Raw genomic sequence first — 24881 nt, forward strand, 5'->3', positions numbered from 1 at the left:
ACACTGAGCTGAGGTTGCACTCCAGCACTCCACCATGGGTGACAAGAGCAAAACTCCATCTCAAAAAAAAAAAGAAAAGAGAATTCTAGCATGGTGGGCTTTGGGGAGGGGAAGAGGGAAAAAGGAATAGGGCTCATGTGGCTGGCTTTTAGGGAGGCAGGTGTGAGAAATACTAACAACTTACAGCTCTTTATAAAGCAAAATGAGATGAAATCCCTCCCCCGCCCCCCCAATTCTCACTCCACAAACCTATGCCTTTCGGTTCTCCCTTCCCCTGGTAGGCCTGGCTCCTTGCCTGGCATTACCATGCACCACGAATGCAGGCAGGAGGCCCCAAACACCCAGACACGGTGTCAGTTCTACAAAACTTTCCAAGTTGGCAGAAGGAGAAGCCACTGCCTCCTCCGGTTTGGAGGCCTCAGGGGAGGTGTTGTCTAGACCGCCCAATCCACTATCCATTCACAAGCCAGTCAGCAACTACCACTTGCCAGAGTCCCTGCCACCACCTCCCACTCTGTGGGGACAACAGCATCCACTTCTTCCACAACAACGAAACAACAAAGATAAAGCATGGCACCTGTCGTCATGCTTGCCACCTTTCAGCACCTCTCGGCTCAGCATTCTGAAAGCCGGGAACTCATCTTTAAAGGAGGCCAGGACTTGAATACAAGCAAGAAAATGGCATAAAATGAAGGAATTAGCCACTCGAGGTTGAAAACACACTTCCCTAAAATGACAGCAGCATTTGGAGCTGCAGGTGGGAGCACACAGCCTACCTCTAACTGGCCTGTCAGAACAGACACGTTTTCCCGTTCTCATTTTGTGTTTCCTTAAACCAACTACTAACTTCTGGCAGAGGTGGTGACTGCCTGGGAAAGATGCCATCCTCATCTGGCCCCCTTATCTATCAAGATGCAAACTAATAAAACCAGCGGGCGGGACACCCATTTAACCTGAAACCTCCTCTTTTGTTAAAAATGGACTGAATGTGTCTTCCGGTTAATAATAAACTTTGCTGGGCACTGGAATAACCACCAGCCTCCTCAACCGTGGCTGCTCTCAAAAGCAGATGTGGTGTTCCCTGTCCCGAGAAGGCTCCAGAGTATTTGGATTAAGGACCTGGATATGCAGATCCTACTCTTAAGAATTAACATTTCCTCCCTACCCCTCAAATGTAAAACTGGAAAAATTAAGAACTCTGTATTTTGCATTGCATTCTCTTAAAAATTCTGTTAAAAAAATCTCTTCACAGACTGGGTGTGGTGGCTCGTGCCTGTAATCCTAGTACTTTGGGAGGCCAAGGCGGGCGGATTGCCTGAGCTCAGGATTTTCTGGGCTGAGGCTAATATTGCATAACTTTATCACATACTTGTCAACTTCTGCAGATGTACACAATGTGCATTTCACTGCTTATAAATTTTACCTCAAAAGGAAAACAAACTAAACAGGTATTAAACTCTTATTGCATAAATAATAAGAGGCATTGGAGGATGAATGGAGAGAGACGGTGAGGAGCCAAGTCCAGAAAGGGGGTAGCGGTGCCCAGGTGCTGCACGCACCGCTGCGTCTGCACATTCATGTGATGAGGGGTGGGTGACGGTGCCATGTAGTTTATAGTCTTAAGGAAATTAACAGCTCCCTCTTCCAAAGCGAGGGAACGAGAATCCCACACCTTGAGAAACACAGGGCTTTCTACGGTGACTCCCCGAATGGCTCTGCAGCTTAAAAAGCTCCAACACATAAACTCATCAAGTAGGGTGAAGAATGAGGTGACACCAAGTTTGCTAAATAGTATTGTTTATTAAGGCTTGTATTCTCCTAGAGGAAAAACCCAATGTCGTCCAGGACTCCATTCAGGCAGTAACAGTTCAGAGGAAGTGACACGCTCTAAATACAAGTCTAATGATACAGCTGAAACGTTAACTCAGAGGGTCTTTTGGAGCAAGTAGTTTTCAGAAAGCGTCTGCTCTCTAGGACGGTAAGGATCCTCTACAAGGGCACGTGCAGATCCAGGCGCTGGAGCGTCAGGCATGGGCACCATTTTCATGCTTCAACTCAAACTCCAGGTGGTAGTGAGCTCAACGGTCCCTCATTCCACAAAACATGACAGCAAATTCATCTTCTAAAAAAAGTTTTGTTTTGTTTTTACCCATTCAACAGGAAAAAAAATTAGACACACACGATGAAATTTACAACCAGCAGCATCATCCATCACACTGTCTGTACTACCAGATCCTACACTTAAAGCTCAGCATTATTGGTATAAAAACTTAAGACGGCATTAGAATTCTTAAGAAAAGGTGTAAAATTTAAAAAGATGTGCAAACAACAAAGAATGCCCGACCCTGAACCAGACCTAAAGCACCTTCCAGTTCCTCCACACATCATGCCCCAACACCATCCAGCCCAATCGGACACCAGGACAGTGAGGGACGGGTGGCTGTTCAGTGGGCAACAGATCTGGAAGGAAAGATTTTCAAAAAAAAAAAAAAAGTGTCTGCCAAATTTGAAAAATTAAAAGTTATCTGTCTAGCAGAAAAATCAAATGGGTAAATTAGCACTTTAGACCGATAACAGATAATAAAATGACAAATCAGAATGAACAAAAAATCATTAACCTTTTGATTTCAGTATTTTCAAGAGATTTTATCAGAATACTCTAAATGACAAAATGACTCATGGTTTCTTATGTTTGCTAAAAAGCAATAAAGGGATGAGAAATATGAAGTCTCACAGAATATCAAATGACTGAATTTAAGAACACAATTTCTGCCAAAATAGATGCTTTGTTTTTAAGGATACTTACATTTCACATTAGATCAGTCTGATTGATAAGCTGACAAAAAAAATACTCCTTTATTAGTGACTTCTACAGGATTATAATACATAGAAAAAGTACAAATAAATGCAGATCCATCTGGGCAAAAATCAACGACAAGAAAGGCAAAGATGCAACACTCAACCCCCGCACGGGACGACACACTGGAGCTGACCAAGCACACGTGTTTTAAACTGTTTTCAAAGTCAAACGTTAGAACATGTAAGAAACTGGTTCGCCCTCATTGTTTGTTTCGACTCTGCCGTTCCTGTAAAAAGAAAAAACAAAAGTTGAACGCAGAGTAACCACACCAATGAATCCCTCCCAAAAGTGAGATCCGAGGCTGCCCCTTAGCAGCACCTGCAAATCTGGAGGCGGGACCCTGAATGGTACCCAAGCCACACCAGCACACAACTCTGAGCTGCACTGGGGCCTGCTCTGTGGGGGACTGGCCACACTGGGCATGGCATTCTCCCCACCCCCTCTACCAGGAGAAAAGCATCAACCACAACGGTCACATGGGCCACCTGTCTGCTGGGAAGCCTCACTTCCCACAGCTGTCTTTCCCTCATGTGCCACTATCATTCCACATGGAAAGACACTTAGCAATGTGAAATTCTCTGCACTCAGAGGGAGGAGCTGGCACGCACCAGGCTCTCAAGGAGGCCAGGGAGACAGAAGCTGTTCTTCTGTATTTTATCTCATTTAAACTTCTCAGTGGCACAAAGGACACCAAAATCCTTCCAACTGGCTAACAAGGTGCTGTGTCATGTGGCTAATGAAGGGCAGGAGGACCGGTGTGGGCCTGTCCAGTTCAGGCCCTTCCCACTCCCCAGCTCACTCCCACGCCAAGGGGAAGAGCATGCCCCTCCCCACTCCCCCACGGCTAGACTGGCTCAAGGCAAAGCTCCTCTGACCAGGTTTGCTGCCCACTCCCGTAAGAGAATCATCTTTTCCAGAGTGTATGTGACACACAAGCTTGAGACTTACACCCGAATCTTTTCCCACACTGGCCTCCCTGAGTAGCAGGGTCTAGAAGCCCCTTCAGTCTCCTTACAAGGCAGCATACAAAGATGAAAATGTGCGATCTAAGGAGCACACGCTGCACCACTCTGCTAGAGAGGTGTCCCAGGCCGAGTGTGGTGGCGCACCCTGTAATCCCAGCTATTCGGGAGGCTGAGGCGAGAGGATCGCTTGAGCCCATGAGTTTTCGGCTGCAGTGAGCTATTATCTGCCCTGCACTCCAGCCTGGGCAACAGAGAGAGACCCTATCTCGAAATAAAAACAAAACAAAAAGATGCATCCCAGGCACATCCACCCTCATCTGGCCATCTATCAAGATGCAAACTAATAAAGAAAACCAGCGGGCAGGACACCCAAACATTTAACCTGAAACCTCCTCTTTTGCTAAAAATGGACTGAATGTGTCTTCCGGTTAATAATAAACTTTGCTGGGCACTGGAATAAACACCAGCCTCCTCAACTGTGGCTGCTCTCAGAAGCAGATGTGGTGTTCCCTGTCCCGAGAAGGCTCCAGAGTATTTGGATTAAGGACCTGGATAGGCAGGTCCTACTCTTAAGAATTAACATTTCCTCCCTACCCTCAAATGTAAAACTGGAAAAATTAAGAACTCTGTATTTTACATTCTCTTAAACATTCTCCGTTAAAAAAAATCTCTTCCCAGGCTGGGTGTGGTGGCTCATGCCTGTAATCCTAGCACTTTGGGAGGCCAAGGTGGGTGGATTGCCTGAGCTCAGGAATTTGAGACCAGCTTGGTCAACATGGTAAAACCCCACCTCTACTAAAAATACAAAAAAAAAAAAAAAATTTGGCAGGGCATGGTGACCGGCGCCTGTAATCCCAGCCACTCTGAAGGCTGAGGCACAAGAATTACTTGAACCTAGGACGCAGAGGTTGCAGTGAGCTGAGATTGTGCCACTTCACTCCAGCCTGGGGGAGACAGCGAAACTCTCAATCAATCAATCTCTTAACAAAAGAGGTACTGCTGTTCCTAAAAAGCAAATACCAATCTCTTGAGTTCAAATAGCTGATGTTAAAGCCACTCACAGGTAAACTCCCCAGATCCCCATCTCCCTTCAGCCCTTATAAACAGCTACAAAGTTTACTATGTGCTCTTTAAAAAATACTATTCCTCATAAAATTTCTCAAAAAAAAAAAAAATGACGAAGCACAGCTCGTTCTTTTGAGGAATGCTCAACAAGCATCCAGGAAATGCTTATGGCCTAAGATTCTCTATGCTCTTTCTTAATTTCCAAAGTCAAAGAGCCACTCTGCTGAGCCGGCCTGGAGGTCGAAGTGGGGTCAGGTCAGGGGCACCTGCCGCCAGGGCAAGGACAGTCAGTCTGAGGAACTAAGCAATGCTCACAGTGTGGGACGCTCACCACTTTCACTGTTTTAAGCTAAGAAGTGGCCGTTTCTAGGTTTTTTTAAAACCAAAAAATGTATCAACCCAGGACTTGGTCTGACTCTGCTGCCATAAAAGCTACTGCCATCCTAAGAAATCAGTATGTTTCTAAATTTATAGCTGGACAGCAATCTTGCAAAATGCTAACTCTACTTCACTTTCTCAACACTCAACTTGTTTATGACCTTTACAGCAATGGGGCCAAACTCTAAATGATAAAGAAAAGGTGGGTCTGTTCTTCGAAGTCCTGAGAGAACCTTGAGAAAACCGCCCGGGGGCTCTACCAGCACAGGCGCACAACCCTCTCCTCGGCACACTACTTTGTTCTTAAAACTGCACTGACTCGGCCGGGCGCAGTGGCTCACGCCTGTAATCCCAGCACTTTGGGAGGCCAAAGCGGGCGGATCACGAGGTCAGGAGATCGAGACCATCCTGGCTAACACGGTGAAACCCCATCTCTACTAAAAGCACAAAAAATTCGCTGGGCGTGGTGGCAAGGGCCTGTAGTCCCAGCTACCCGGGAGGCTGAGGCAGGAGAATTGTGTGAACCCAGGAGGCAGAGCTTGCAGTGAGCCGAGATCACACCACTACACTCCAGACTGGGCAACAGTGCAAGATTCTGTCTTAAAAAAAAAAAAAACAAAACAAAACTGCACTGACTCTTCATGGGAAACCCAGAGGGAGAAAGCATTAGACACCCAGAGTCTCAGCCTCAAGACACCTAAGACTCCAATCCTGGATGAGCCACTAGCCCAGCCCGTTAAGCACAAGGCCTAGAGCACCTTCGCAGGCAGGGAGAGCCAGCAGCGAAGTCCAGTCTGGGGACCTCCTCAAGGACCACTTCCATTTCTCTACACTGCCCAATAAGCTTAAAAGATATTTGACGCCGGGCACAGTGGCTCATTCCTATAATCCCAGCACTTTGTGAAGCCAAGGTGGGAAGACTGTTTGAGCCCAGGAGTTCAAGACCAGCCTGGGCAACATAGCAAGACACTGATTCTACAAAAAAATACAAAAATTAGCCAGGCGTGGTGGTGCACGCCTGTAGCTACTCAGGAGGCTGAGGCAGGAAGACCGCTTGAGCCCAGGAGGTCAAGGCTACAACAAGCTGTGATTAAGTCACTGCACTCCAGCCCGGCAGACGGAGAAAGACCTGTCTCAAAAACAAAAACAAAAAGCTATTTGAGGCGGGGCACGGTGGCTCACACCTGTAATCCCAGCACTTTGGGAGGCTGAGGTGGGCAGATCACTTGAGGTCAAGAGATCGAGACCAGCCTGGCCAACATGGTGAAACCCTATCTCTACTAAAAATACAAAATTTAGCTGGGTGCAGTGGTGGGCGCCTATGATCCCAGCTACTTGGGAGGCTGAGGCAGGAAAATGGCCTGAACCTCGGAGGTTGAGGTTGCAGTGAGCCAAAATTGCACTACTGCACTCCAGCCTGGCTGACGGTGAGATTGGCTCAAAAAAAAAAAAGCTATTTGAAATTCCACCAAACATTAACAAACCAGGTTCTCATTTGTCACTTTCAATAAAATGAATTAATGTTAACACTGACCCATATGGGCCCAGAGTTCTCCAGCTTGGCTAACAGTTTAGGGGAGGGTTACCAAGTTCCTTCCAATGATGCTCCACCAGCGGCTCTGTTGGACTCGCCTTGGAGCACCCAGTGGTTTGAGGAACACTTGGATCTTGCCTGCAGGCAGATGCCCACAGACCCTGCAGGCCGCTTACCAAGATGCTTAACCCATAACCCGACACACAAAAGCAGTTATCTAGATCAAGTTTTTATAATGCAAGTTGTAGGACACTAGAGTTTTAAAAACACCAACCAGGTCAGGAGTCCGCACACTTTATGAAAACCCAAGTATTACGGTATTTAAGAAGAAAAACTGTGCGCGCACACACACACAGCCAGCTTCCAGTTTAGCCAGCTAAGGACCTAAAGCTTCATTAGCAATTATCCCTGCAACTTTAGCAATTCAGTATTCATTTTATACCTAAAAGTCTGTAATCCGAGCTATTGTCTGTAATCCCAGCTACCTGGAAGGCTAAGGCAGGACAATCACTCGAACCCAGGAGGTGGAGGTTGCAGTGAGCCGAGATTGCGCCACTGCACTCCAGCCTGGGCAACAGAGCAAAACTCCATTTAAAAAAAAAAAAAAGACCTAAAACACAGAATTTCAGTAACTAATTCAGAATTCAGTAACTGGAAATAAATGACATCCACTTCTTTTCTCACAAAAGAGAGGGACTGATACTTTTCCAAAGTTCTACAAGCCCCAAGTTGTTCAGGACTTGCATAATGTAAGACTGCAGACAGTGCAGGCGGCTCTACTCTATACATCCCTATATATGCCATGTACACGCCTTTCTGCCCAAAATACATTAGGACACTTGGTGCTCACAGGTGAATAATTCCTTTAACATAGAGAACTGAAAAAAACACTGAAAACCCATCTATTATCAACTGACATTTCAGGAAGGGATATTTTTTAAAAAGCAGGAGAGAATCTCAGGATGAACTCTCTCGAATAAAGGAAGCATTATGAAGTATGTCAGCATCATCATTTTCCCATTGCTGGTGCCAGTTTACGGGCATCTGAGCCCTTCTGAAGAGCAAACACACTCAATCCCGTCAGACATCACATGACAGCACAGACTCAGGAGTTTGGCTACAAGTATCCCAGGAAATCAGGACTGTCTCAAAAAGGCCCAGTCAATGAATTTTTGATATAGGATCCATATTTGTCATTATAAAATGTCTGGATTCCAAACCTACCCCACCACCACCATTTTCTTTACGACCTAGATGGAGTGAGTTTGTTTCCAAAAACTGCAGGATACTGGGTTTTTAAAAGAAAAATAAAGCAACGACCTCCAGATCAAAGACCAGAGATTCCCAACTACTGAGGGACAGTGCCCTGGGAAGCAAGGGCCCTTGGCCAGGTGGGGTCTCGATGCCCTACGTGCCCACCGCAGTGCTTCGTGAATATCACCTAAGTGTTCCTCATGGACGGAGGCTGGGAAGCACTGTTCCAGAAAGTATCACAATTCAAAAAGGAGAGGAGAAAGTTACCCTCAAATTCTTTGTAACAGAAAAACAGAATGTGTACACTGTGGTCCCAATTATTCAATTATAATTGGAAAGTGATCAAAGTCGTTCGGTGACATCTACCCAAATACCATCACTGGTTACTAGCAGTACTCTCCGCAGGGAAAGCCCACGAGGCTGCCAGGACCTGGGCCCGCCCACCTGCGGCCAACTGGGAGCTGCCTGTCACGAGACTCAGCTCGGCGGACCTGCCGCATCTGCTCACCACCGGGCCACCTGGTCTAAGTACGGCACCAAGGACACATCTGCATGGCAGTTGCCTGCAACACCCAGCCTCACCTTGCGCACCACCTCCTCCTCCTCCTGGCGCTTCTCGTAGTGAGCAAAGTCGTCGAAGATGGAGGTTGTGTGCTTGTAGGAACTGATAATTTTCAGCACTTGCTTGGCTTTTTCTAAGGGCACCTCCTGGGTGTCCCGGGAGTTTGTGACCGGTTTGTTGTCGTTATTCTCCAGCCTGATGTGCCGGAGCTGGTTATTGGGTACATCCTTAACAAAAATCCACTGGACATCAAACTTCCCCTTCCACTTGTCCTGAGACCAGACCCCGGCACTGGTGCCGTAGTCCACGGGGGACTTCATCTCGGCCACCCCACAAAAATGCCCACTCCCATTGACGCTGAAGAGCAGGTAGACGGGCCCCTTGCTGCTCATGCAGCGGAAGGCGCTGTCCAGGCGCTTGTTGCCGTGCTCTGTGCTACACCAGATGGAGTACTTAATGGAGCGGTGGATGTCGTCCTCAGAGTAGCTCTTGATGATGAACACACGCCCGCTTTTCAGATTCCACTCAAACTCTTTCGGGTTGTAGCTGTGAGCAGCCTTCAGTTTTTCAAGGACGGGGTGGGATTCGACGCTGGGGGCAGAATTAGGCTGGACGTTTCCAGGAGAGTTGCTATCGCTGCCAGCCCCTCCGCTCTGCCCAAACGCCGCGTTTCTGTTGCGTGGGGCAACCCAGCGGGTCTGGGGTGGCTGCTGAGGGCTCTGATACTGCGGTTGAGCCAAAGCTGGGGGCTGTGCTGGGAGAGGCTGAGCCACCTGCTGGGGCTGTGGGGCAGCCTGTGGAGAGGGTGCCTGCTGGGGGACTGGGGCCTTCGGCACAGGCCCCTTGTTATCCCAGGTGCCAATGTCCATGTTATGCTTTATGGGTGGAGGGGGCAGCCCACCCCCCATGACAGGCCCGCTCTTTGTTTTCATTTTAGGCTGTGGTTTTGCAGGCTTGCTGGCAATGGCAGCCCACGAGGTCGGCTTTGAAACTGGCATGTTCACATTTGTCCCACCGTTGCCAGAAAGGACACCAGTCAGTGCCACGCTGCTGACGACAGAGCCCACCGTCTTGACGGCGGAGGAGCTGACGTCCCCAATCTTCAGGCCAACCATGCCCTGCTCCAGGCTGTTCATCCCGGGGGCCTTGCTGAGGGTGTCGCTGTGAAAGCCTGGCTGCCCATCAACCACCGTGCCACCCAGGGAGCTCGGGGGGTAGGTGTAGCTGCTCCCATACGCGGAGCTCTGGGTCTGCTGACCTTGAGACCCACTTGTCCCCCATGCTGAGAACGCAGGGTTTTCAGGGAAAAAATTGAACCTGTGCTGATAGATGTTGTTCCCCAGGCCCCCAGGCTGCCCAAAAACAGCATCGTGCATAAAATGATGGTCTCCGTTACTGAGCTGTCCGTAGGTGGTGAGGTATGGAATCGGAGGGTCCCCTGCAGTAGACCACGGAGCCTCATTGAGGGAGTAAGGAAATCCAATGGACGGCGGGTAATAGCTGGACAGGTAGGGGTCGCTCATTGAGGGGTAACTGTTACTCTGCAAAAGCAAACGTGACAAGTTACACCACTTCTACAACACGAGATGCTGAGAATGCCAACCGCCTCTTGCTTAAGCACAGGTGGAGCAAAAACAAAACCTGCACAGCATGGGGCTACTCCTTCCAGAAAGAAAGCTGTAGTCGCCAATGTGAGAACCAAATCAAGACAGAGAAATTAATAACGAACACAAACCAGGGTGCCGTCTCAAAATACGAAGCATCATTGGCAAGGCTCTGAATTCAGGCTAAATGACGAAGCTATGCCTCTCTAGAACTGGCAAGGTAGCAGCCCCCTCTACTCTTACCTGCAAAGGAATCCAGAGGTAGAGGAGTAAACCCCTGCCTGCTGACGACAACGCTTATGACAGACACGGACGGCATCATGGGAACTGAAACAGCTTTGTAAGGCAGAGATATTTCCATTGGCAAACCAGGATGTGCAGGGCCGTGAGGCAGTTTGCTCCAGAGAACAGACCCCAAGCTCGCTGATTACTCAGCAGGCCCTGGGCGCCCACCTCTGGGCCTTGACATTCCTCCTGGGACACTCTCCCATACCTGGACCAAAGCTCTCCCAGAATCCTTCAAGGGTGCTTCAGAGGCTCCTTCCACACACCCTTCCTAGCAGATGGCCCCTGCCTCTAAGTCCAAGGGGGTTCACATTCCCATGATTTCCTGGGCACAGCGTTGGGCTCTTGCAGTAGGCCCCTGCACAGAGGGCCCTGGCTGGCTCCAGCTCCTCAGCCAAGAGAAAGCATCCGAAGTGTGGACTCTGTGCTCCGGGTGCAGAGCAGCCCTCACTCTGGATGCCAACTCACCTGGGCTTCCTTATGAAAACATGTCTGTGTAGTGACTGGAACCTCAGAGAGTGGTTTTAAAGTGACGGAACCATGAGGCAAAAAGGTCTGCTAGAGAAGGTGAGTGCCTGAGTGCCCCATCGTAGGGGTCTCTGAAGAGCTGCCCAGGGCACAAATTTAGACTGAGGGTCAGCAGTTCTGGGACGGCATCTCCTTGGAGAGACTCAACTAAGGGTCTGGTCATGATTGGGTCCCTCCAACACTGCCTTAAAATGACTTTCGTGTGAGGTGTGTCTGTATGTGTGTGCGCACACACACCTGTACACAGGCCGGTGAGACGGGGTCCAGTGTGAGGTAAGAAGGCTCCCACCTAGACGCATCGTCTGAGAGTGCCAAGATGCTATTACAGAAAACAGAGCCGGAAGTAAAACACGGGGCTCTCCAGTCTGTGACGCCCGTTTTTGGATTTTTAGTTTTCCCGCTCCCCGCCCCCCAGTCCCCCAAGTAACCAGAAGGTTCTACATAAAGAGAATATGCTCCAGACCTCATCTCACAACCTCATCCCTGCCACATTGACCTTTCATGTTGGCATCAAAGGCTACACTATGAAGGATAACAGCACCCAGTCGGGGACACCAGGTGGGAAAGTAGCTGAGGCAATGAGGGAGACTGTGGGATCCCAGACAATGAAACAGGCCTGCTTCACTGGAGGGGTGACCACAAGCAGCTCTCCCTGGGGGCAGTGCCCCAACACCAGCCAACACTGGTGGACTAATGAACCAATGACCCGGCCACCACTTCCTGCCTCCTGCTCCCATCCTAGAATACTGAGGGCTTCAGAAATCCAATTTATTTTCTAATTTTCTTCCTGTTGACTTCTCCACTTGTGAGCAGACAATTCCAGAACCCCCCCCTTTTTTTTTTGGGACGAAGTCTCACTTTGTCGCCCAGGCTGCAGTGCAGTGGCACGATCTCAGCTCACTGCAACCTCCGCCTCCCAGGTTCAAGCGATTCTCATGCCTCAGCCTCCCAAGTAGCTGGGATTACAGACACCCACCACCACACCCGGTTAATTTTTGTATTTTTAGTAGAGACAGGATTTCATCATCTTTGCCAGGCTGGTCTCGAACTCCCAACCTCAGGTGATCCACCCGCCTCGGCCTCCCAAAGTGCTGGAATTACAGGCATGAGCCACAGCGCCTGGCCCCAGAATCATCTTTTAAAATGCACTAACTGCTGTTTCCCCGTAATATAAATTTGAGATTCTGGGGGTATAAGAAGACAAGTGGGATGCTATCAGTGTTCCACAAACATGAGATTAATCTGAGCTTATTCTCCCTCAAAACAGTTTCCATGATGCTGGCTCCTTTGCTGCAGCCTTTCCCTCGGGTGCTGCCCTGGCCAACAGGCCCAGACTGGGGGGGTGAGCGAATCAGGGGGGCGGTCTGTGCACAGGACTTGCTCCTCGAGTCACTGGCCGCAGGTGCCTTCAAGGACGGCAGGCAAGGGGACAGTCCCCCCCACAGGGAAGCCAGCCCTCCTCCTCCCATTAGCTGGACACGTGCTCCTCAGCAGCGCTGCAATCACAACACATCTTCCTTCCACGCAAAAAGAGCAGATGGGAAAAAAAGACCTCGATGGCTGTGTGGTATTCTAATCCACTTGGCCCCAACACCAACCAGAGGAGTCAGGCCACAGAAACAGATGCCCAGGGACACTTCTGACTTACACCTAAAGCCTTAACTAAGACAGGACATCACTTACCACATGAAAAAATCCACATTACATGAGGCATGTAACATTCCTGAAAATCCGTTTTAAGTATTAAATGGACACACCTAGCACACACGCTGCACAGACAGAGAGCCCATAAATGACCCATCCAGCTTCCCTCTACCCAAGGTGCAGGGCCTGCAGTTCTAGCCAGTACTCTGCAAATCCTTCAGCTCCAGATCACCACCATTCACATCCTGAGCCACAGAAGACGGTGACGCTAATCAGCTCTGCTGGCAGCCCTAAACCCTCCTGATACTTTCTGTGCTCACCGGGTTCCACGGCCACACAGGCAGGCTGGATACAGTGACCTGGGGTTCTGTGGGCCGGATTTCCATTTTTACCTCAATCTCACTGACAGCCCATTTCCTATTACATCTGCCATCTTTCCTCCAAAACTCTGAAGGTAAAGAAGCAGGTTAATTTGTAAAGCTATGTGAAGTCAGTCATTCTGTACATAAGAAAACCTGGAGATGCTGTCCTCTGCCTTCTTTATGAGCCACATGTCAGGCTGCTGCCCCACACTCCTTCCCTGGTGAGGGAAGCTGTCCCATTCACAGTCCTGGTCACAGTGCGTGGGAGACAACTGGAAACGCACAGTTCGGGCTGCCTGGAAAACACATGCAGCCTCCTTTCAGGGCCTTTGATCTCCCTTTGTCTCCCGCACAGCCAGGCACAGGTTCAGCGCTCACTCGCTGCCAAGTGCTGGAGGCGAGCTGTGCTGCTCCCTCAACATTCCTTAGTGCCACGGCTCCATGGGCACTGAGTTATGAGTGTGAAAGTTTACTTCTCAGGGATACAGCTGCATTAACCCCGGGCACGGTGACTCATGCCTGTAATCCCAGCACTTTGGGAGGCTGAGGTGGACGGATCACAAGGTCAGGAGATCAAGACCATCCTGGCTAACACTGTAAAACCCCCCTCTCTACTAAAAACACAAAAAATTAGCCGGGCGTGGTGGTGGGTGCCTGTAGTCCCAGCTACTCAGGAGGCTGAGGCAGGAGAATGGCGTGAACCCGGGAGGCGGAGCTTGCAGTGAGCCGAGATCGAGCCACTGCACTCCAGCCTGGGTGACAGAGCAAGACTCTGTCCCCCCCACCCCCCTCCAAAAAAAAGAACAAATTCAAAGCTTGTTCTTAACACATTACTACCTCTGAGCAAGCATATTTTGGTCCTCGTAAATGAGTGGCATAAACAGATCTTTTAAGGACAATACAAGCAAAACCATGATCCTGTTACTCTGCAGCCGCCTCCACAGAAGACTGCTGAACACTTCCACATGCTAGGCGCCTCACTGCAGCCCCTGCGGAGAACTGACGACCTCATCGAAGAAAGGCTAACACATTTTTAGCCGGGCACAGTGGCTCTGGCCTGTAATCCCAGCACTTTGGGAGGCCGAGGCAGGTGAATCACAAGGTCAGGAGTTCGAGACTAGTCTGATCAATATGGTTAAACCCCGTCTCTACTAAACCGGGTATGGTGGCAGGCACCTGTAGTCCCAGCTACTCCGGAGCCTGAGGCAGGAGAATCGCTTGAACCTGGGAGGTGAAGGCTGCCATGAGCCAAGATCACGCCACTGCACTCCAGCCTGGGTGACAGAGTGAGACTCCGTCTCAAAAAAAAAAAAACAAAAACAAACAAAAAAGAACTAAGAGCAGTTTTACATATTTACTCAAATTTAACCACATTAAAAAAAAGAAACTTCCATCCGAATGACCAGAACCATTTAAGTTGAAGTTCAATGGTTAAGTTTACTTCCTATATCCATTTTTCTGAGATGGAGTTGGAATGACCAAAAGGAGAGACTAGAGGGAGAAGCAGAAAGGATCCCTTCAGAAGCCCAAGAGGAACAGAGAGAAGCATTTGCTTAATAAAAACAAACAAACAAAACAAAATAATTAATTATGTAAAATGGAAAAGTATTAAGGGTACTGCTGAAAAGTGAGGGAGTGATATGGCTCCTGGGAAGCAGCTCTGACCCAGGACTGGGAACAGGCCTACCAGGATGACCTGTTCTTCAGGAGAAGCCTTAGGGAGCACAGAGAAAATGTTAGAGGAAAATAACCGAAAAACCCTAATTTACTTACTTGGCTGCTCACTTTTCAGATCTGTTTTCAGGACTGGTCCCTCTGAGGCTGCAATTTCAGCCCCTCAGCTGGTGGCATCAATATGCAGAGACAGCAGTTTCTGACAGAATTTCTGCATTTGTTTCAGCAACTTGCCAGTAAGAAGCACGTTAAGATCCCACTATGTCCTTCCAGCTGCGTTTCTGGGAAGCCGTTGTGATGGCAAATGCCTACTTAGCAGGCGCTGCCACTGGGTATTTTAAGGAAGCCCATATTTTTAGATGCAGCCACAAGAAACTGACACTCCCCTGCTGGCCCTCAGGTCACCCCGGGCCCACCAGAGCTGCCCAGGCACAGCAGGAAGCCCTGTGCCAAGCATCTCCAGGCTGTTCTCAAAGAAGTCCTAGATGCTCTGATGAGGCATTGTGTTCAGTGAAAAAAAACCACCCAAAACCTGATGAGCAATTTCGTCACTGTGTGATCAGTGTCCTCACACAAACAGAGACGTGTGAGCATGGAGGCAGTATCCTTACCACACACTGAGGCCGTAACCTGTACAGTGTGTAACTGTACTGAATAATGGAAGTAACTGTACATCAATGATAAGTATCTGTGTGTCTAAACATTATCTAAACACAGAAAAGGTACAGTAAAAATACGGTATAAGAAATCAAGAACGGGACACCTGTACAGAGCACTTACGGTGAATGGAGCAGGTAGGCCTGAGTTGCACTGGGTGAGTCAGGGAGAGAATGTGAAGGCCTGGGCCCTCACTGGACACCACTGTCACCTTTAGAAACACCGTCCACTTAACACTACACTCAATTTTTAAATTTTCCTTTCTTCAATAATAAACCCTAGCCTACTATGGCTTTTTTACTTTACAAACTACTTTTTTAAAAGCTTTAAGGTTTTTGACTCTTTTGTAAACACAAATATATCATATAGCTGTACAAAAATTTTTTTTGTTATATCCTTATTCCATAAGCTTTTTTCTATTAAATTTTTTTTAACTTTTTGAACTTTTTTGTTATAAATGAAGACACGGCCAGGCACAGTGGCTCATGCCTATAATCCCAGCCCTCTGGGAGGCCGAGGCAGGAGGACTGCTTCAGCCCAGGATTTCGAGAACAGCCCAGGCAACACAGTGAGACCCCATCTCTACAAAAAATCAAAAATAAGGCAGGAAGATCACTTGGGCCCAGGAGGTCAAGGCTGCAATGAGTCATGACTGCACTTCCGCCCAGGTGAGGGAGAGACCCTGCCTCAAAACAAAACAAAACAAAAAAACCAAAAACCCAAAAAGACACAAAAAACACATATTAGCCTAGGCCTACACAGGGTCTGGATCTTCCACCTCCACATCTTGCCCCACTGGAAGGTATTCAGGGGCAACAACACACATGGAGCTGTCATCTCCTGTCACACCAATTGCCTTCTTCTGGATTCCTCCTGAAGAACCTGCCTGAGGCTGCTTTACAGTTGACTTTGTTTCTAGTAAGTAGGCAGAATATGCTCTTAAAAGTATAGCAAATACACAAAGTAGTAACAGTCGTTTATCATCAATTATTACGTACTGTATGGTACTGTACGTAACTGTAGGTGTATACTCTGGTATGACTGGGGCAGTAGGTTTGGTCACACCTACTGCAGCACCACAGACACGAGTAATACACTGCCCTCAACATGGTAGCTCCAACGTCACCAGGTGCCAGGAATTTTTCAGCACCATCATAGTCTTATGGGACCACTATCATATTGTGGTCTGTTGCTGACCAAACTGCATCCGGCAGCACAGGTACAGGCATGCCCAGATGGCCTTGGTAATTTCTGTCAGTGGGATCACAGCAAACACACTCAGTCTGTTGGTCAGGGAGTGTGCAGGAAGCCTGGGGGGCCAGCGGCATCTATTCCCAACTCAGGCATCATGCCAAGACAGTGTCTTCTAAACTCTGAGTAGGAACTGTTCTGGGTCATTTCACAGTCTTTCCTTTCAGAAAACAACAGAGAACTGGGAAACCAGAAGTCCCCGAGCAGGAAAAGCCTCAAAAGAGAGAATCGGCGGGGCACTGTGGCTCATGCTTGTAATCCCAGCACTGTGGGAGGCTGAGGCAGGGGGATCACCAGAGGTCGGGAGTTCGAGACCAGCCTGACCAACATGGAGAAACCCCGTCCCTACTAAAAATACCAAAAAAAATTAGCCAGGCGTGGTGGCGCGTGCCTGTAATCCCAGCTACTCGGGAGGCTGAGGCAGGAGAATCACTTGAGCCAGGGAGGTGGAGGCTGCAGTGAGCTGAGATCGCGCCACTGCACTCCATCCTGGGCAACAAGAGCGAAACTCCATCTCAAAAAACAAAAAAAGAGAGAAAATCACAACAATCAAGCCCAACCCAGAGCCCTTCACTCCCAGTTCCTCTGCTCCCCCAACTCCCATTCAAGTCACAGACTAGAAGACAGATACTGAGCGGCTACAGTCGCAAGCGCCTCAGGGGCAACTAGGACTGAAACTCTAGCACCAGAAGCACAGCAAGGCGGGTGAGGCCTCTCTGAGGGAAGGACCCCCACCACACGGCAACAACCCCTCACAGCCCATTACAAGTTAAACCAACCTAACAGGCAGGCATTCTCCTAAGACTTTCTAAACCATTCTAAGTATGACAGTTTCACACAAAACACGGTAGCCTCCAACTGGCTACTACAAACCATATCTAGATTTTTCTCTTTTAAGTACCCAGGGTTAGGTTGGGCACTAGTGGCTCATGCCTATAATCCTAGCACTTTGGGAGGCTGATGCGTGTGGATTGCTTGAGCCCATGAGTTCAAGACCAGCCTGGGCAACACAGCAATATTTCATGTCTACTAAAAATTTAAAAATTAGCTGGGCGTGGTGGCACATGCCTGTAGTCCTAGCTACTTGGGAGGTTGAGGTGGGAGAATCACCTGAGCCTGGGAAGTCGAGGCTGCAGTGAGCCATGATCACATCATGCACTCCAGCCTGGGCAATGGAGTGAGACCCTGTCTCCAACAAAAAAGGACCCAGAGCTATTGATATGCCCACTATCTTAACTGTGGCCATGGCTCCAAAGGTATGTCTGTGTAAATCAAAAGTTATAAAACCATACTGTATACTCTACATATGGAGCTAAGACACCCACTGACATAAAAATAATCGATTTGTAAAGAAATCCTCCCAAACAACACAAAAGCTCCGACTTTATAAAAATATTTTTGGCTGGGCACAGTGGCTCATACCTGTAATCCTAGCACTTTGGGAGGCCAAAGCAGGAAGATCACTTGAGCCCAGAAGTTCAAGACTAGCCTGAGCAACACAAAGAGACCCTGTGTCTACAACCAACCAATCAATCAATCACCAGGTGTAGTGGTGCATGCCTGTAGTCCCAGCTATTCAGGAGGCTGAGGCAGGAGGATTGCTTAAGCCCAGGAATTTGAGGCTACAGTGAGCTATAATCATGCCCCTGAACTCTAGCTTGGGTAACAGCAGGACCCTGTCTCCAAAATACACACACACACACACACACACACACACACACACACACACACACACACTTTTAAGTGTACTGATGCAACCTCCCTCCCCCTTTATTGGCTAAAATTCAGTACATAATACCATTAAAGTACTAAAATAATAAGAACACACTAGAAAACAAGAAATTCAAAAAATTAGTTAACTTCCTGCCATTACCTCTATCCAAAGGCCCATCACTAAAGTCAAGTCAGTTCTGCCCAGAGGAAGGGCAGATTCTCAGAAGGCAACCAAGAGACAAGAAACAGAAGCAGGGTCGGAGCGCGGGGCAGCGCTGCCGAGGCTCCACCTGTACAAGGTTTCTTGGTCTCTAAGCTGCTTGATTCGCCAAGTGCAGTAGGAGGGAGGGGGATGAAGGAACATTCTAAGAAGTTCTAAGACACCTCAGAAAAGGGCAGACTAGTTTTATTCCTTCACAGAGAAGAGGTGAAGCCTGGTTTTACTTTAAAGTAAACATGCCCAGTAGCTGAGGGCTACTTGGAGTGGCGGAGGAAGGAATGTGAATCACAGCACACGAAATGGAGCACTCAGAGCATCTGCTTTGTGCTGCCCCATGAGGCCTGCTCACCAAAGTGAGGAGCTCACAGAGGTGCAGCCCCTCATCCAAGCCAACGGCCTGGAGGTAGGAAAGTGAGGCAGGGGAAGTCTGATTCCCGAGTTGGACTCTTAGACATAAACAGATACCGCTTCTCTTGGGAGTTTTGCTGCAACAGCAGCACAGAGGAGAGAGAGCAGCTCCCAGTAGATTTTAACCAGGGCAACTGTATCCCCCAAAAAACATCCACCAAGACAGTTTTGCTTGCTACAACTGGGGATGGGGAGAAGGAGTTGCTAATGGCATCTAGTGGGTGGGAAGCCAGGGAGGCTGCTAAACATCCAACAATGCACAGGACAGCCCCCAAAACAGAATGTTCCCGTGCAAAATGTCCACAGTGCCAAGGCAGAGAAAGCCTGAATTACCTAAGAAAACAGGGCAGCTATGACTCACTGGGCCCTGCTGTATCAGGTACTGTCTCAGCGCTTTATGTGCACCATCTGATGTCATCCTCCCAACAATTCTACAAACAGTTACTACTCTCTCTCTTCTACAGAAAAGGAAATTGAGGCAAGAGAAGGCAAGCCATGGACACAGGCCAGTCAGTGGTGGAGTTAAAATTGAAACCAGGCTGGGCGCGGTGCCTCACGCCTATAATCCCAGCACTCTGGGAGGCCGAGGCGGGTGGATCACCTGAGGTCAGGAGTTTGAGACCAGCCTGGCCAACATGGTGAAACCCCGTCTCTACTAAAAATACAAAAATTAGCTAGACGTGGTAGTGGGTGCCTGCAATTCCAGCTACTCCCGAGGCTGAGGCAGGAGGAATGCTTGAACCCGGGAGGCAGAGGCTGCAGCAGGCTGAGATCACGCCATTGCGCTCCAGCCTGGGTGGCAAGAGTGAGACGCTGTCTCAAAAAAAGGACTGAAACCCAGGCGGCCTCTGGCTCCACAGTCGCTCCACAGCCCAGCTCTTAGCTGCCTCCCCAGACCACAATTCCAATCATCCAGAGCTAAGAATAACCAGGAAGCTTCAGAAACACACACACACCTCCACTGCGTCAAAGGCAAGACACACCACTGACCCACAAACACTAGAGCCAACTAGACCTGTTTGCATCCCAGCCCCAGTGGGATGCCGCCTCCTCCACAGGGAAAATCATTTTCACCCCACTGATGCCCAAGGTTAACAGGAGTCACATCTTCATGAGCAGTCTATCATTCCTAATACTTTATAGTCTGCTGCTTTGTTGTTTAGGATAATTTAAAAATCAGAAATGACAGTAAAGGTACAAAACAATTAAAACCAACTTAAAAACAAATATATGCTAACAAAATAAACTCACCTGATTTGACTGTCCAGTAAGGTAGGGCTCAAAGTCATTGTCATGAACTGTATCCTTCTGATGTAACGAACCATTTTGTACTAGAACAAAAAGTTGCAAAATATTACCCTCAAATTTTAAAAGATTACTTTTAAGCTTGGAAGGCAAAGTTAGCAAAGTCTATTTCCATCTATTTCTAGCAGAAATTATGCTTTAATTTTAAAAGGAGTACAACCAGTATAGAACTGATGTTTATACAACTAATTAGAAGGGGGACGGGAAACTTTCAATAATTTAGGATAAATTTTAAATAAAGGCTTAATCGTAATTTGGTGAGATTAACCAAATCAAGTGTTAACACATAATGCAAGGAACACATAACCAGGGTGAAAACTGACATGGTCTAAGAAGACTTATGTGTGGCAAAAAGAAGTGGAGCCTCCAAAAGCCCAAATGCAGAATGTATGCCCAAACGTATGGAGAACGGAGGGAAGAAAACTTAGGAGGGAAGGGGCTGCAACTGAAGGACTGTTGGGAGCTATTATCTGACTCTCCACAGTGAACCCCAAATATCTGAGACAGGTCTCAGTTAATTTAGAAAATTTATTTTGCCAAGGTTAAGGACACACCCATGATACAACCTCAGGAGGTCTTGACAACATGTGCCCAAGGTAGTCGGGGGACAGCTTAGTTTTATACATTTTAGGGAGACATGAGAACCATCAATGTAAGATGTACATTGGTTTGGTCCGGAGAGGCGGGACAACTTGAAGCAGGGAGGGGGCTTCCAGGTCATAGGTAGATAAGAGACAAACGGCTGCATTCTTTCGAGTTTCTGATTAGCCTTTCCAAAGGAAGCAATCAGATAAGCATTTATCTCAGTGAGCAGGAATGACTCTGAGTTCTGTCCTTTGTCCACCAGGAATTTCCTTGTGGGCAAACTGTGGGGGAAGTATGTAACTTTTTTTGTCTTAGAAGCTATCTTTTTCAGGAATAGAATGGGAGGCAGGTTTGCCCTCAGCAGTTCTCAGCGTAGCTTTCTCCCTTTGGCTCAGTGATTTGGGTGCCCCAAGACTGGTTTTCCTTTTACACCACTTACCTTCCCACTGTTATTATGCTCAGCCAGAAAAAGCAAGCAAAGGTAAATAAAGTGCTGGGCCTTTTCCAATCTTAAAACACGATGAACCGTATTTGGTTACACCTGAGCTGACACACAAACTGGCTAAAAAAGTGTTCCAAGTAAACGTGAAGTGTCACTTAACAGTTTTCACATGAGTGCGCTCTGAGGGTTTATCCCAAGCCATAATGTCACAGGAGATGCTAACAGACTTGGAAAACGGGCTGCAACTACCGGGGATGTGGAGCTTAGCCTGCAGAACCTTGGACTGCCCCTCTCCTAGAGCAGCCCCTGCTGGGCGGAAAAAGGCAAGTCGCTCAACCCCTGCGGCCATGTCCACCCGGCTCTCCTACCTCCCCTTCCCCAAAGCAAATCCATGATCATGCGGTGGGGAGAGACGGGCCCAAACTACTCTGAGCAATCATTTATTCACTTCTTGAGAAGCCCCTGTCTTCGACCTGTCAAATCTCCCAGAATCGTCGCACAACCTCAAGTTTTATCTCCCTGAAGCTGGCGGAAGAGAGAAAGTTTCCGGTTCCAGACGCAGCTTCCTGGACCGTTCCTTCCCCGTCCTCCTCCACTCCAGCCCGCGCCGGCCGTCCCGGGACTCCGCTCACCTTTATTATCTTGTCCTTTTGTTCTCTGCACCGCCGCAGGCCGGGACGTGGGGTACACACAACCCGGGGGAAGAGGGAAACACAAAGTTATTCACCAGAGAACTGGTCTCCAACGGGCCGCGAGCTCCGCCGGCCCCGACGCGCGGTCACGTGCGACCCCGGCCCCGAGACCCCGGTCCCGCCTGGGCCCGGCCTCCGCGACCCCGGGCTCTGCGTTCCAGCCCCAGGACCTCAACCCAGACCCCGCGCCTCGGCCCCGGCCGCGGCCCCTGTAACCCGGCCCCGCTACCTGGGTGTCCACGCTGGTGGCCGACATGCTTCATGAACAACTAGACGCGGGGCCGGGGCGCCCGCCGGCTCGGGCCTCCCCTAGAGGCCGGGCCTGTCACCCTAGCTCGCGCGGCCCCGGGCCCCGCCGCCAATTCCCCGGGCGCCGGCCGGGCGGCGGCGGCGGCTGCTGGGCGCGCGGGCCCCTGGCGAGGCGGCAGCGGCGGTGAGCCCGGGACGCGGACGCACTGAGGAGGCGTCGACTCCAATGGCGGCGGCGGCGGCGACAGCAGCGGCGACGGCGGCGGCAGGGGACGAGACTGCGCGGCGTCAGCGTGCACGCGGGGCAGGCCGGGAGCGCCGCGCCGGGCCGCCACACTTCGCGCCTGCGCGCTCCCGTCTTACGGGATGGATTTCGCTCTCAGGTCCCAGTCTCGTGCGGCGGGGCGGGGACCGCAGCCGGCTGGGCGGGGAAGCCCTGAGCCGGGGAAGTCACGTGGGGCGTGTCCGGAGGCGCCGCGGGGCCTGGCGGGAAGGGGCTGGCGGGCTGCTGCCAGGTGTACAGCCGCCCACACACACCCCGGCCACAGCCGCACCCCCGACGCGCTACCGGCACTGAGGCCTCTGTAGTTTTCCCCAAGGTCCGAAGACTAAACGCTGTTCTGGTCCGACAGCTGGGCTACGGGTCTGTCCGGGGTCGGTCTGCCCTTCCCCCGCGCGCAAACACCTGCCCGCCCAGAGCTCCGAGCCCCCGCGTGTTCCAGGTCGCGCGCCTCGGCCCTTGCCGCGGGACCTGCGGGCTTTGTTCGCTTTGCGGCCCTGGCCTTCAGCCGCAGCGGAGCCCTGGGCCCGGTCCCGGAGGTCAGCTGTTGTGTGGATGCACCCCTGGACCTGCGAGAGGCTCGCCGGCTTATAACCAAGTTCTCATGTTAGATTCTTGACCCCGATTTCATCACCAGGAGGAAAAGCAGTGCTCTGTGCCCCAGCCTAGGCCGGGCCAGGGGACTTGTCATCTTTGTTCGAGGATGGACAGCCCCTTCTTAGCAGCAACTGTGCAAAGAGAGCCCAGTTCTCAGTTCCTAACCCCTCAGCATCCCCAACCTGGACGCCCTTCTGGTCAAGGTGTTGAATTTCGCTCCCTGCAGCCAGTATCCAATCCTGCCACCCTTGTGGCTAACTCCCTACAGAGGCTTCCAGGTTGATATTTTTCTTTCCAGCTCTGGCAGCTGTAACATCTTCACGTGGCCTGGATCTGGGTCCTGCTAAAGGAGAAAGACCTGGAATGGGGTGTCAGGCAGGTTGACGTCAAATGAGTGTTTTCCACAAAGTGGGCCCGGGCAGATGCGCTAAGCAGGGTGAACAGTGACAGCAGGGACGGCAATGGAGTCCCAAGACGGCTCCAAGCCTGGACATCCGCATCAGTGGGGTAGCAGACAGCCTCTCACACTGCTGCAGGAGGAGGTGGAAACTGCCCCCAGCAGGCCGGTCAGCCACAGAGAGGACTGCTGCTCCAAGTTGCTCCAGGTCTCCCTGGAGCCCTGCCTCGCCTAAAGCTGGGGAAAGCGGGCTGGGCTTGTTTCCCTGGAACAGAGCTGGGGGATGTCTGGTGCCCTGAGGATGAATCTGGATCCCCTGGGACTTTGATGTGTTTGGGCCATGGGCAGACATCTCAGGCCAGGATGAAATCTGTGCATTTGGGGTACATCCGAAAATGAACAGCACGTTTCCAGGATGGTGGCCCACATGGAGAAGATGTGTGGGGATTGTAGGGACAGTGGGGTCCCTGGGGGCACCCTGCCACCTGCTTCTGTGTGATAAGGCCTGCGCATCCTGGGCAGGCCCTGAGTGCCTGCTTCCCAGGACACTGAACTGTTTGGCGGCCAAGACTGCAGCAAGGGGGTGTCTGGGTGGTCAGAGTAGACACTCGGACTCTTGGAGCCCCTGTCTGTCTTCTCACCCAGCTCCCATCCCTGGGCCAGGACGGTGCAGTGGTCACCACTGGAGTTCAGAGCCTCACAGCCAGTTACAGGGCCTTCAGCCTCAGGCCTACTTTCCTCCTCCGTGGTGGGTTAATTACTCCCCTTTCACAGGATGAGTGTGTGGAAGAAACTGGGTATGCAGCCCTTGGCGTCAGGCCAGGGCTCTGTCAACACTGGCTGTTACCTGCTGCCTTCACCCACAAATGCCCAGCCAGTCACAGGAGGCAGCACTGGCCCTGCGGGAAGTGGCCACTCCGAGCTTAGGGGCCTTCTTAGATGGCTGAGTGCCGGCAATGCAGGACCCTGGAGGTGTTTCAGTTTCCTGGAGCTATCTCAACAAAGTACCCGGAACTGGGGGGCTTAAAATAACGGCAATTTATTCTCTCCCAGTTCTGGAGGCCAGAAGTCTCAGATCAGTATTGCTGGGCTGAAGTGGAGACAGAAGCTCCTTCCAGGGCCCTCGGGGAGGATCCTAGCCTCCTCCAGCCTCCGGTGGAGGCCGCAGCCCTTCCTGGTCTTTCCTCCTCGCCTCCGTCACCTCATGGCCTTTTCCTCTGTGCCTGTGTCTCTTCTTATAAGGACACTCATCTGGATTTAGAGCCCACCCTAATCCAGGATAACCTCATCGTCTTGTGATTATATCTGCAAAGAACCTATTTCTAAATAAAGTCACGCAGGTACCAGGTGGACATGAGTTTTGGGGGTAC

At 50.2% G+C, this 24881-nt stretch overlaps 1 protein-coding gene across 2 annotated transcripts, besides 5 other annotated features; it reads right to left on the bottom strand.

Moving 5' to 3' along the window:
• Window positions 1-1780: 1780 nt before the first annotated feature.
• YTHDF1 (YTH N6-methyladenosine RNA binding protein F1) lies at window positions 1781-22483 on the bottom strand. 2 transcript variants are annotated; one of them, NM_017798.4, is made up of 5 exons: window positions 22218-22483; window positions 21929-21953; window positions 20216-20295; window positions 8639-10159; window positions 1781-3086 (listed from the first exon to the last, which is right to left on the bottom strand). In NM_017798.4, the coding sequence occupies exons 1-5, from the start codon at window positions 22242-22244 to the stop codon at window positions 3060-3062; spliced, it is 1680 nt and encodes a 559-aa protein (NP_060268.2). In that variant the 5' UTR covers window positions 22245-22483; the 3' UTR covers window positions 1781-3059. The 2 variants fall into 2 exon arrangements, with proteins under 2 accessions (NP_060268.2, XP_024307682.1); XM_024451914.2 differs by lacking the exons at window positions 21929-21953; window positions 22218-22483 and adding an exon at window positions 21800-21911.
• Window positions 3469-3763: an enhancer, noted in NCBI's record as "tiled region #12386; K562 Activating DNase matched - State 5:Enh". NCBI's record gives its function as "activates a minimal TATA promoter and a strong SV40 promoter by Sharpr-MPRA in K562 cells {active_cell/tissue: K562}" and the evidence as "EXISTENCE:reporter gene assay evidence [ECO:0000049][PMID:27701403]".
• Window positions 5673-6272: an enhancer, noted in NCBI's record as "H3K4me1 hESC enhancer chr20:61830673-61831272 (GRCh37/hg19 assembly coordinates)". NCBI's record gives its function as "activates a minimal SCP1, AML or CMV promoter by ChIP-STARR-seq in primed H9 embryonic stem cells {active_cell/tissue: H9 hESC(primed)}" and the evidence as "EXISTENCE:reporter gene assay evidence [ECO:0000049][PMID:30033119]".
• Window positions 6273-6874: an enhancer, noted in NCBI's record as "H3K4me1 hESC enhancer chr20:61831273-61831874 (GRCh37/hg19 assembly coordinates)". NCBI's record gives its function as "activates a minimal SCP1, AML or CMV promoter by ChIP-STARR-seq in primed H9 embryonic stem cells {active_cell/tissue: H9 hESC(primed)}" and the evidence as "EXISTENCE:reporter gene assay evidence [ECO:0000049][PMID:30033119]".
• Window positions 22356-22425: a silencer, noted in NCBI's record as "silent region_13148". NCBI's record gives its function as "represses an Ori minimal core promoter by ATAC-STARR-seq in GM12878 lymphoblastoid cells {active_cell/tissue: GM12878}" and the evidence as "EXISTENCE:reporter gene assay evidence [ECO:0000049][PMID:35858748]".
• Window positions 22556-22835: a silencer, noted in NCBI's record as "silent region_13149". NCBI's record gives its function as "represses an Ori minimal core promoter by ATAC-STARR-seq in GM12878 lymphoblastoid cells {active_cell/tissue: GM12878}" and the evidence as "EXISTENCE:reporter gene assay evidence [ECO:0000049][PMID:35858748]".

The sequence above is a fragment of the Homo sapiens genome, chromosome 20, assembly GCF_000001405.40.
Source record: "Homo sapiens chromosome 20, GRCh38.p14 Primary Assembly".
NCBI lineage: Eukaryota > Metazoa > Chordata > Mammalia > Primates > Hominidae > Homo > Homo sapiens.